At 50.2% G+C, this 12,075-nt stretch overlaps 8 annotated features.

The window, feature by feature from the left end:
• Positions 222–311: an enhancer, noted in NCBI's record as "active region_4009". NCBI's record gives its function as "activates an Ori minimal core promoter by ATAC-STARR-seq in GM12878 lymphoblastoid cells {active_cell/tissue: GM12878}" and the evidence as "EXISTENCE:reporter gene assay evidence [ECO:0000049][PMID:35858748]".
• Positions 1,142–1,191: an enhancer, noted in NCBI's record as "active region_4010". NCBI's record gives its function as "activates an Ori minimal core promoter by ATAC-STARR-seq in GM12878 lymphoblastoid cells {active_cell/tissue: GM12878}" and the evidence as "EXISTENCE:reporter gene assay evidence [ECO:0000049][PMID:35858748]".
• Positions 2,242–2,701: an enhancer, noted in NCBI's record as "active region_4011". NCBI's record gives its function as "activates an Ori minimal core promoter by ATAC-STARR-seq in GM12878 lymphoblastoid cells {active_cell/tissue: GM12878}" and the evidence as "EXISTENCE:reporter gene assay evidence [ECO:0000049][PMID:35858748]".
• Positions 2,242–3,492: a biological region, named in NCBI's record as "BRD4-independent group 4 enhancer GRCh37_chr10:112116377-112117576".
• Positions 2,293–3,492: an enhancer, noted in NCBI's record as "BRD4-independent group 4 enhancer chr10:112116377-112117576 (GRCh37/hg19 assembly coordinates)". NCBI's record gives its function as "activates an origin of replication core promoter dependent on BRD2, P300/CBP, MED14 and CDK7 cofactors, and independent of BRD4, by STARR-seq in HCT116 cells {active_cell/tissue: HCT116}" and the evidence as "EXISTENCE:reporter gene assay evidence [ECO:0000049][PMID:35650434]".
• Positions 3,062–3,161: an enhancer, noted in NCBI's record as "active region_4012". NCBI's record gives its function as "activates an Ori minimal core promoter by ATAC-STARR-seq in GM12878 lymphoblastoid cells {active_cell/tissue: GM12878}" and the evidence as "EXISTENCE:reporter gene assay evidence [ECO:0000049][PMID:35858748]".
• Positions 3,182–3,231: an enhancer, noted in NCBI's record as "active region_4013". NCBI's record gives its function as "activates an Ori minimal core promoter by ATAC-STARR-seq in GM12878 lymphoblastoid cells {active_cell/tissue: GM12878}" and the evidence as "EXISTENCE:reporter gene assay evidence [ECO:0000049][PMID:35858748]".
• Positions 10,435–10,614: an enhancer, noted in NCBI's record as "active region_4014". NCBI's record gives its function as "activates an Ori minimal core promoter by ATAC-STARR-seq in GM12878 lymphoblastoid cells {active_cell/tissue: GM12878}" and the evidence as "EXISTENCE:reporter gene assay evidence [ECO:0000049][PMID:35858748]".

A 12,075-nucleotide genomic window follows, 5' to 3' on the forward strand; every position in this document is an offset into this window, starting at 1 on the left:
CAGATGGCGATCTGTCACGGAGTCATGGGTGTCAAGTTGAAAAAAAGAAAAAGAATACACTCTACCCTACACTAAATGGAATGAAAGGGAAAATACGGAGTATGAACGACAGGCTGTTCCCTCAAGACAGCTCCATTATCTGGAGGCGAGTCCAGCGGACAGGAGAGGGCGCTGTTTCAGAGCTTCTTCCTCATTACTGATGTGTGCAGCCCTCAGAGGATGCCCATCTCAGCCATCTACTCACGACCTTGGCTGACAGCCCCTGGCATGACCGCTGGTGAGCCAGCCAACTGGGAATTTGAGGGAGCCTCACAACTCAGAGACAGGCTCTTGAGAAAAGGAGGGAGCATCCAGAACCCACTTTAAAGATACACAGAGGAGCCCTGGAGGTCTGCGCCTGCTTGGCTGGTGGCTCCGCTCTGAGGATCTGGGCCCATTCACTGCACTGACCACCTGCTCATCTACCGTTTGTGCCTACAGGCTAAAGGCTTAAGCAAGCTCCCAGTTGCACTCAGGCCTGGACAGGATTTCAGGAATGAGTGGCCCAGCGGGCATTTATTCCTATGCCCTGATCCAAACCTCCAGATGCCACCATTTGTTTAAATCAGCAAGGGATGGGAGACAGCCTCCACATGCCAGGCCAAAGGCACCAAGGACCTAGGCCCTGCTCACACAGAGCTTAAGGTCTCACAGAAGCACATGGACCTGAAACAAATAAATACAAAACTGTAAGTGATTCTATATGCCATGAAAAAGAAGAGCCAGGTGCCAAGGGGGGGGGGGTGGTACCAGGAGATCTAAGTTTGTTGGGGCTCAGAGGAAGCATCCAGACAGCTGTGCAGCTTTGGGGTCGCGGGGCGGGGGGGATGCTGAGGCTGGGGGAGGGAGAAGCTGTGCAGGAAGAAGCAGTCACACCTGCAAAGCACACAGCTTGGGGCACCAAGCGGACCCCAAACCAAGGTGGGTAGGAAGGGAGAGAGCGAAGCGAGAGGACAGGGCCTCAGCTAGGGCCCAATCAGATTTGACTTTTTCTGGGATTTCCCCAGGCCCCAGGTCTCCAGCTACCAAACAGAGCAGCCCAAGTTCTTTCTCAGGAGCTTTGCATATTATTTGCTTACAACTTCTCTTGCTTTCTCTCTCTCTCCTTTATGTTTCTTATTGCATTTATACTCACATGTTGTGGGAGTCTTTTTTTCCTGTCTGTGTTTGTATTTCAAAGCCATCATCCTGCCCTCCCTGAGCTGCACTAGGCAAAAATATGTGTCCAGGATAGACGAAAAGACATAAGAAAGACCCTCTGAGGGGACCTAACTTGGGGTCTCCTTCCCCTGAAGACCCCACTCCCTGTCCAGTGCTGAAGGCATAACTGTTACAATAGAGAAAAGGAGGCAGTCAAGAGCTGGATCCGAGTCCAGTTGGGTGACCTTGCACAAGTTGCTCACCCCTTTGGGATTTGTTGCCTCATCTGTGAAATGAGTGGACCGCACTAGGTAACCGGTTCCCTATCTGGGATCTGCAGATAGGCTTTAGGGAATCTAAGAATCCCTAAAACTGTAGGTAAAATTTGGTAGACTTGAGTAGACATTGTTCTGGGGGAGGTTCCATAACTCTCATTCAATTCTCAAAGGCAACCAAGACCCCAAAAATGTTAGGAACACCTGCCCTGGGTGATGTCCACCAGCCCACAGCTTTCAGAAGCCTCATCCGAGGTGCTCTTACCATAAAGATGAAGAGACACAAGCTTCCGTTGCCCAAGAGAGCAGGGAGACTCTGGGAGTGTTCTAGGCAGGGAAAGGAAGGCAGGTGACAAACAGGAAGCATTGCTGTGTGCGCATTTCTGGTAAACTGCCTACATAGATTGCTGAAGGAAGGGGCCAATCTGTAGGGTGTCAGCAATTTGCTGTGATTCCCCACCCCCTCCTCCTAGGTAAATACCCACTTTTGTACTTAATTTTGTTTTCATACTTTTGTATTCTTTTTATTAAGGAGTGTCCCAAATTGTAAGTCTTTGGGCCCCACACAACATAGATACACTCCTGGGTCCTGAATATAACCAAGGCTGAGATGGCCTGATAGGCACAAGCACTGTCCGGACCTGCGGCCGTCAGGTGCCCGGCACACCCCACATAGGTGCACAGGTGCTGCTCCGACTGGGTGGCTCTCCTTGTCGCCATCCTGGTTTCTGCTTCCTTTCCTTTCCTTTTCCCCTTCCCTTCCCTTTTCTTTTTTCCTTTAATGTGGATTTCAGAAGTGGGGTGAAAATGACCTCAGTGAATAGCCCAGCTCCCTGGGACAGTGGCCTGGTATTTTTGACGTGGGAGTGGCGTCTGCTCTGACTCAACCTGGACCGGCCCAGGGACAACACCTCCTTCGGAGTAGCCGCTTTGTTTCGTTTCGAGCAGCCCAGCTGCGTTCTGCATGACCGAATTGGACACCTCTCACTTCCTCTGAGAATGGAACTTGGTGTTTAGATGACGTGCAAGCCAAGTCAGTTGTGTAAAATAGCACAACTCCACCTTTGGTCTCCCATCCCAACCCCCAAGGCCTAAAAAAAGAAAAGAAACAGAAAAAAGCAACACCTGAGAGGAACTGGGCTTCAAACAAGTAAAGACTTTTATAAGCGCAGCAAGTGCCTCCCTCTGGACTGGAGAGGGGCCGAGGGGGGCTCCCGAGACCTGTAGGAATGTCGGATCAATGCCGTCCTAGCTGTGTGACCTGGGCCAGTTTATTTAACATCTCTGAGCCCCTGGTTTTTCATCCTCACAGAGACAATGACGTTCGTGTTTCTGTGAGACATAAGCGGTGTAGCACCTGGCAGGCACTGATGAATTGTTCTCCTCCTCCCAGGAGCCCTGCTATAGGGTCGAGCTACTGAGGCACCTTCCCAGTGCTGGAAATGCTTCCTGTGGACACCTTCCCCCACCCCAAAGGAAGGATTGGGTCAATGGTCTTAAGCTCCAGCCCATGCGGGGGTGGTCAAGCCTTCAAAGTGGAGGGAAACCCAGGCTCCAGGTGAGCCCCAGGAGTCTCAGCTCCGGAATCTGGCAAGAAATACGGGGGACAGATGTTTTGGTCTCTGAGCCCATTTCCTTCCTGCTCATAGGCTCTCCTGTGACACGTCGATGAACAAATCCTCCAGGAATTATGCTCCTTTGAAGTTCTTGGCCGAGTAAAAGTAAGCAAAAATGAAAATATCTGTAAGTCACGTGAGGCGATGTCGGTTTGTATCGTCTGACTCAACAGCAGTGTTTCTGCTGGGGCACACTCACACGGGCGAAGGCGTGGGGCTGTCCTCCCACAGGCTGGTTTGCCTGAAGACAGCTGAAGATAAACAGGCAGCCTGAAGAACTAGAAGTCAGAGAGCCGGAGCCCACGCTTCCAGGCTGTGTGAATTTCAGCAAGTCACGGACGCCCTCTGGGCCTCAGTTTCCTGTTTGGGGAGGACTTTTATTCTCACCTTGGAGAGATGGCTTGAGGGTTAAGCGAACACCATCCGTCCTAGCACCTAGCACGTCACAGGTGCTCACTGCATGTCCATTGCCTCCCCTTTTTCTTTTTTCTCAGCCCCTTCTCTCTGAGAACAAAGTAGCCCATCCCCTGGGTCCCACCAGCCAGACTGAGCCACGTCCTGAGGCCTCCCTCTGCCTCACTGCCACACTTGGCGCCACAGAGGCCTGAGCCTCCTATTGCCCGAGTGCCTTGCTGCCCAGGTCAACCCTCACCATCGCTCATCCTGAGCCTTCTAATGCCCGAGTGCCTTGCTGCCCAGGTCAACCCTCACCATCGCTCATCTCTGCTCTGGACTCACAGCCACCTCCTGTCCAAATTGGTTCTCCTGCCTCCACTCTTGCCCTCTCCCAGCCACGCTCCCCGGGCCACTGCCACCTTTCTAAGCACGTGCTGGCCTTCATGGACCTCTGGGATCAGCCCCTGTGCCCCTCTCCAGCCCCCTCTCTCCCAACCTCACTCTTGGGCTCTGGTGAATCCAAACCATGTCCTGTTGCCCTCATGGGTCAGCCTCTGTCCCTCTGTTCCCCCACTCACTGTCAACAACTCAGATTTCAAGGCTTGGTTTAAGCACCACTTCCTTTTGGAGTCTTTTTTTTTACCACCATAGTGACCCCTCAGCCCTGCCACTCCTAGTTTCAGTCCCTCCTGGTCACCTGACTCCGTGTCTGTGGCACCTGGAGCACTTGGTGCTGAGAGCTAACACAGAGACAGAACAGGCTGCAGACCAGCCCTGTTCCAAATGGCTCTTTTCATGTTAACTCATTTAATCCTCACAAAATTGCCCTATGAGGTGGGTGCAGTTATCAAAATTTTTACAGGAAGCTGGGGCACAGAGAGGTTCAGTGACTTGCCAGTGACCACACAGCTACTAGGTGGCAAGACCCTTAGACCTTAGGGTGGTTTTGTGCTCCTAGGCATGATGCTATTCCACCGATTCATGGACTTTGTCTGCTTTGTCTATATGCCTGCCCCTCTCCCTTACACCATGAGCTCGCCTAGGGCCCTTCCCATTTGGGTACCTGCAGACCAAGAGTGAGGTCAGGTCCACAACAGGGGCCACTAAAAGTCCCCCAACTGAAGGATCCAGCCTCTACGTGGCTGCCCATCATAACAGGGAGGCTCCAAGAGTCTGCATTCTACCAGGAGAGACACCAGGCAGAAAGGTCAACTGAGTCCCCACCCCCACCCCAGGTGACTTCCTCAAAAGGCAGAGAAGGAGCAGGAGGGGAGCAGCTTTGCATATGGAAGAGGGGAAGCCTGTCCCTAGGTCGTTCTCGTGAAAGAACCAGAGTTCTGTCTTCAAGGGCTTCGTGCAAGGCCTGAGTGGATGAGGGTTCCCATCAGCCTCCATGCTCTACTGCCCTCTCCAGCACTCCATCTGCCAAAGATGGGCAGGAGTGCAGTTGATGCTTCTTATTACACTCTATGTTACCATCAGGTTAAGTTTGTCTTGCAAGCCTGAGGTCTGAAAGCCTGGAATGCCTTACCAGCCTGCCTGAGTAATGTCTCCCTCTAGTTTTGAAGTTTCTGCCAAGGAGGAATGTCACTGGAATGCAGCCTCTACTAACACCTGGGCAGCTGTCCCTCAGTCATGAGGCTGGCCCGGCTGGCTCATCTGGTGAATGATGTGGCTGCCAGGCGTGGGGCTGAGGGCCCCTGGTGAATTGGCCACACTCTCCCAATGGGCATGTCTCCAAGACAGGCGGCCCAGGTTAAGAACACCATCTGCAGCTAGGAACAATGATAACAACAATAGCAAGAATGAACAGCAGGTTTGCCTTGATGAAGCACATCCTATAAGTCAGGCTCTGAGCAAAGCACAACCTATGCAGGATCTAATTCAATCATCCAGGCAACCTAATAAGATATTAACATCCCCACTTTACAGATGAGAAACCGGGGGCTCGAAGATTGAGGGACTTGACCAAGGCTACACAGAGGTGGAACCTGTTCTTCTAACCACTGGGTTCCACTGCCTCATGGAAATGGAGTGAAGCTGATCCTAAGCCCACACAGTGATTTAGAGCAGCAGGTTTAATCTGTACAAATGACTGATTGTATTTGAGTGTGGTTGCCAGTAACCAGCAGAAGGATTCTCCTCCACCCGGGTTCCAGGTAGAAAACCAAATGGGGGCCGGGCGCGGTGGTTCACGCCTGTAATCCCAGCACTTTGGGAGGCCAAGGCGGGCGGATCACGAGGTCAGGAGATCGAGACCGTCCTCGCTAACACGGTGAAACCCCGTCTCTACTAAAAATACAAAAAATTAGCCGGGCGTGGTGGCAGGCTCCTGCAGTCCCAGCTACTCGGGAGGCTGAGGCAGGAGAATGGAGGGAACACGGGAAGCAGAGCTTGCAGTGAGCCAAGCCACTGCACTCCAGCCTGGGCGACAAAGTGAGACTCCATCTCAAAAAAGAAAAGAAAAGAAAAGAAAAGAAAAGAAAACCTTATGGGAAGGAATGGGCCACTCCTTGCCTGCCCCTCCCAGCCTCTCCATTCCAACCCACTTTCCTCTCCCACATTTTCTTTCTTTCTTTCTTTCTTTCTTTCTTTCTTTCTTTCTTTCTTTCTTTCTTTCTTTCTTTTCTTTTCTTTTCTTTTCTTTTCTTTTCTTTTTTTGGAGACAGTCTCGCTTTGCTGCCCAGGCTGGAGTTGAGTGGTGCGAACTTGACTCGTTGTAACCTCCACCTCCCAGGTTCAAGCTATTCTCCTGCCTCAGCCTCCCAAGTAGCTGGGACTACAGGTGTGCACCACAATGCCTGGCTAATTTTGTATTTTTAGTGGAGATGGAGTTTCACCATGTTGGCCAGGCTGTTCTCCAACTCCTGACCTCAGGTGATCTGCCCACCTCGGCCTCCCAAAGTGTTGGCATCACAGGCATGAGCAACCTCGCCCAGCCCCCTCTCCCACATTTTCAAACCACCCTCCCACCATCCTCTGATGTCTACAAGAAAAAAGGAGAGAGATTTTTTAGCATGATATCAGTTTCTATCCATCATTCACTGAATTCTCATTCCAGCCCTTGGAGGTTGGGTGTCATTTTTACCATTTTACAGATGGAGAAGCTGAGGCTCTGAGAAGGCAAGCAACTTGTTCAAGATCACCTCATTGGCAGAACTGGGCTTGATACAAAGCTAAACCTGAAGCAGAGCCTGTACTTGGTCTGCCACACTGCAAAAAAATGGGAGAAACCCTCCTCAGTATTGGAAACGACTTCAGAACCTTGGAGAGCAAGGCTGAGCTTGACTGGGAAAGAAGGGATAGTTTGGAAGAAGAGATGTGTCCTCTTCTGTCAGAGCTCAGCCCCAACCTGCCCTGGTAAGGTCATGCCCCTGCCATGGTCAGCCCCCTGCTAAGGAGAAATAGGATGCTGGCCCTCCAGTAGACAAGTGTCTGTGGGGTGAGTCACCCATTATCCCCCTCCCGTGTGACACACTTAGTACAAGGCATTGGGAAGTATCAGACCAAGAGAATAGACTTCAAGATGCCACGTGCCCACAGGCCTGGGAATGCTTGGCTTCCTGTGACCTTGGATTGCACACGCATTCAAGAGGCTCCCAAGAAGCTTACCCAGCCAGAGGTTCCCACGCCAAGGAGTTGGGCTGGACTCTGTGACCTCTCTTTGCCTTGCCTGGGGCCACCCAGATCATTAGACCATAGGCACTAATGCACCTGCCTGCTGCCTCTTACTGTAGAAAAAGAGATGAGTAGAGGCAAGTGGATTCCTTGGCGCTTGGGAAGCTTCAAGGTGGTGCACATAGTCTTGGAGCCAGGTAACCCTGGGTTAAATCCCAGTGCCTCCTCTAATTAGTCAGACAACCCTGCACAAGTTAGGTTACCTTGCTAAGCCTCAGTGTTCACATTTGTAAAAAAAGTGCCAATCATGCTTTTCCACAGTTTGGATTGAATCAGAAAACTTAAATAACCATCTATCCCCAAAACAGCTGACACATAATAAGGGATATTTAAGTTAAAACTTTTCATTTTTATTAAAATATTAAACATCTTCAAAATTCACATAGAAAGAAGAGCACTAGAATAATTGCAAATGATGGAGCAACCAAAGCCACCAATGATTGAAATGTTCTCTGTGACTAAAGGATGGTTATTTATTCTGAAAGTAAGAGTACGATGATATCAGGAGAGGAAAGGGGGTGGAGCTCATCTTAAGTGCTGTGCTTGCACTGTAGTGTGTGTGTGAGAGAGAGAGTGCATGTGTATGTGTGTTTGTGTGTATGTGTATGTGAGTAAGAGACAGAGAGAGAAGGGTGGGGGGACACACTTTCAACAGACTAAAATCTAATCCCTACCCTCAGGAATTTACACATAACTGGAATATTTTTAAAAGTGTCAAAATTGACATCTGTGAGCTACAAAGTGCTACAGGAATATAAAGGCAGGAGAGTTCGCTTCCAGCGCAGCTGGGGTTCTGAGTGGTATGTGACACTTCCTGGAGGAATGCTATTTGAGGTAACTGAAGCGAGGGTGAGATTTCAACAGGTACTAATGGGGATAGGGTGGAAAAGAGAATTGTTGAGAAAAGCCACGAAACAGAGAAAGCAGGGTGTGCCCTGTGAATCTGAGGTAATATGAAAAAAATACCAAATACCAAAATATTCTTACCCTTGGATGGTGGGATGATACCTGATTGATTTTAGTGTGTGTGTCTTTCTGAATTTTCTATTCTTTAAAATGAGTTTGGGCCTGTAATCCCAGCACTTTGGGAGGCCGTGGTGGGCGGATCACGAGGTCAGGAGATTAAGACCATCCTCGCTAACACGGTGAAACCCCGTCCCTATGAAAAACGCAAAAAAATTAGCCAGCCGTGGTGGCGGGCGCCTGTAGTCGCAGCTACTCGGGAGGCTGAGGCAGAAGAATGGCGTGAACCCGGGAGGCAGAGCTTGCAGTGAGCAGATATCGCGCCACTGCACTCCAGCCTGGGCGACAGAGCGAGACTCCATCTCAAAAAAAAAAAAAAATGAGTTGGGTAATTTGTATACTCAAGAAAAAAAATCATATTTTTAAAACCAACATCAGTAACAAAATCAGCAAAAAAAAAAATAGTGCTTTTGTGACTGAAGGTAAGAAAGCAAGAATGTTTAAAATTCTAGAGAATACTGGCAGTAGAGAAGGGGGCTTGTGTCTAACTGGGCTCTCTACCGCAGCACTGTTGAGATTTTGGACTGGATCATTCTCTGTTGTGGGAGCTGCCCTGTGTATTGTAGTATTCTAGTCTCTGCTAGATGCCAGTGGAATTTTTCCCCTTCTCTCCTCGGCCACCCCAACTATGACAACCAAATATGTCCCCTAAGGGATGAAATTGCCCTGGGGTGGATAGAACTACTATTCTAAACCCTGGAATATTTGATGTGAAGGAAAAGTCACCCCTACATACTTCTCTGCATGCACAGAGAGTGTAATCCCGTCACTGTGCCTTGGCTCTCTTAAAAAGTTTCCCTCTTTCATCCAATCCCACCCAAATCCAGGAGGTAGAAGGTCTGAATGCTGGGTCCCAAGTCTTAACACTAGTTAGCTACATGATCTTGGGTTAGTTGAATGGCCACTCTGGGCCTGCTTACTTATCTATAAAAATGACAGGTAGATGAGAAGTGCTCAAAGATTCTGTGAATCCGTGTGTCAATGCCAACCCCTTATTTTGTACAGGAAGAAAATGACATTTGGAAATGTGTAGTTTTGCCCAAGGTTACACACCTCACCAATGGCAGCACCACGACTAAAACCCAGCACCAAGACTAAATGCCATGACTTTTGATTTCTACTTGTGCCCCTCCACCCCACACTCTTTGTCACCTGTCTCCTTAGAAGCATGGCTTCCTTGTGTCAAAAAGGAAGAAAACAAGAGTGACTGGGCCAGGCCACTTACATGCGCTATTTGGTGAGCAAGACAACAGAGAAACCTCCTCTATGTAAATAATAACAGGGACACCGACATGACTTTCCGAATGAGCCAAAGCAGCTCGAAGAAACAAAGGGCTAACTGGCTCTTTCAAGACAGTGGAGAATCTGAGGGTGATGAGTTTTGTGGTATTCAATGGCAGGCTGCTGTGACAGAGGGCTGCAAATGCCACTCCGGGGACACGTTAATGAAGGCTCTGCATGCACAACACGAGAGGCAATTATTCTGTTCTCCCTGGCACTGGGTCCTCCTGGCAGGAGAGCTGCCGCCGACGCAGCTGGAAAGAGTTCAGTGCAAAGTTCACAGAGACAGCCAGATGGAGAATGAACAAGACTTGCCGTGTGGCTCAGCCAATGCCAAACAGACCAACCGCTCATCTGCAGGCCTTCCCCTGATCCTCGGGAACATATGCAGGAAGGGCATGGTGGGCGGAAGAGGTGGAGACTTCCGCTGGCAGATGCGAGAGGCATCTGGGGTGCTTCCGGCCTGCGTGTAGGCTGCCATCTCTGAAGCTCCCCGGGCTTAGGGCTGCCTTCCCTTCTGGCCAGGTGTTGTCAACATAGGATGCGAGGAGTCATCCCAAGACAAAACATGGCCAGACAGGTGAGCCAGAAAAAAGAGGCAGTGAATGCACATCAGTTTGTGGATGATTTTCCTGGCGCCCATTTCGTAGGCCGACCCGGCCTCTTTCTCTCAGGTTCACGCAGGGGAAAGGCTCTTCGAGGTGCTGGAAAGAAGACTTTGTCTCCTTCCTTTTCGGCTTGGACCAGCCCTATTAGTGGAGTTTTCTAGGCAAATCTGGTCCCCACCCCACCCCCCACAAATCAGGTGAAGTCAGGTTAAAAATAATATTGAAGGCTGCCGTGAGTGCCAGTTGAGTCACAGCCCTGAGGGTGTGTGGGTTGCAAGTAAGTGGGTCCCACACGTTTCCCAGGGAGATGATGGGGCAGAAACAGGTTGTGGAGTCTGCAGAGGGGTAAAATGAACCCCAGATCTTAGCAGCAGCCTGCCCCCACCCCCACCTGCTGGCATTTCCAGGCCAGAAGGGACTGTTCTGTCTCACTGTTTCTCAAAGGCCACCTGCTGCTGCCTCAGTGAGTCAGAAGGGCCTGTGTGGCTTGTCGTGGATCACTTGGAACCTGGCCACATGCCTCCCTTTTCTATTTCTGTGCCTCAGAAGATGGCAGTACCACCCAACACCCCACCCAGAAAATCGCTGCCACTAGCTCTAGTGAAGCCTCATCTCAGGGCTAGTTACCTAGTAAGAAGAGCAGTGCTGAGAATTCCGGCAGGTAGAGATGAGGTCTGCAGCAAGGGGAAAGAGAGGAGACTTCTGAGGGCAGCTGCTCAATGGAGGAATTAGGGAGGGTTGGAAGCAGAGTTATCCTCAGGATGAGTTAGCGACAGTCCTGGCAATAGGAACATTGTCCCTGTGAGGACTCTTGTGTGGGCCTGGACAGCTCAGGCCTGGGGCTGGGTAGCTCACTGGTTAGGCCTCAGCTAATGCAGGCAGAGTGTGAGGACAGCCGCCAGGCACTGGGGCAGCTTTCCAAGGGATGCTCTTTTAACGGAAGTAATTCCAAATCCTTAGTGCATCATGCAGTACCGTATGCTGTTTGGGGCCTTCTCACCTGATGCTCCCTCCCCGCCTACCCCCCACGCAATGTCCCCTTCTCCCAACTTAGTGGACAGTACAGCACAGTGTGAGGGATTTCAAACATTCCGTGCATCAGAACCATCTGGAAAGATTGCCAATGGCAGCCTCCTGGCCCCATTCCCTGATGTTCTGATTCCGTAAGCCCAGCCAGGATGCTGCGTTTTTATCAAGCATTATGGGGAGATCCTCAGCATGTGGTTCCTGGACTCTGCTATGAGAATGCTGGTTTCATGGCTAAGAGCTTAGACTCTGAAGTCAGACCAGAATTCAGATCCCAGTTCTGCTGCTTACCAGCTATAGAACCTCTAAGCTTCGGTTTCCTCATCTGTAAAATGGGAATGGTGAATTACTTTCCTCATGCTATGAGGATTAAATGAGATGATATATGTAAAGACCCAACAGACTGCCTGAGAGGCAATGAGCACTTAATAATGTTATTATTGCTAGTGGAATTCCTGCTGTTGCGTGTTCCCGACACACACATAGATGCTCAATGTGTGATGACATGTTTGTGGCTGACTCAAAACTGTCCTGTTCTTTATGGGAAATGATGCAGGGGCTTTAGAGGTGAGCTGCTTTCTCTTTGGAGAGCTGGGCCTCTTAGCCACCCCAAGGGAGAATCTTCTTTTTTCACCCCAAGGATGAATTAGAATCCTGTGTTTGGCATTTCATCATGCAGTAAGACATGAAAGACCCTCTTCTTGCACCCTTCACCCAGCAGGAACTGGGTGTTGAAAAAGTCTTTTTGACAGCTTGGTATCTTTTTTAACTTTCACAAGAAAACAGAAGTCTGCTTGTGAATAGTATCACCGTTGAACTCAGAGCCTGAAGGAATAGGAGTGGGCTGGGCAGAGCCTGGACTAAAGCCAGGAACCTTCCGTGAGGAAGATGAAGCTCTTGGCATGGGGCTGTTGGCATCCAAGGCCTCCCCAAGCCCTGGCATCTTAGGCCTGGGCTGCCCTGAGACAAAGGGAACCACTAGGGCCTAGCCTG

This window comes from Homo sapiens, chromosome 10 (assembly GCF_000001405.40).
Source record: "Homo sapiens chromosome 10, GRCh38.p14 Primary Assembly".
NCBI classification, from domain to species: domain Eukaryota; kingdom Metazoa; phylum Chordata; class Mammalia; order Primates; family Hominidae; genus Homo; species Homo sapiens.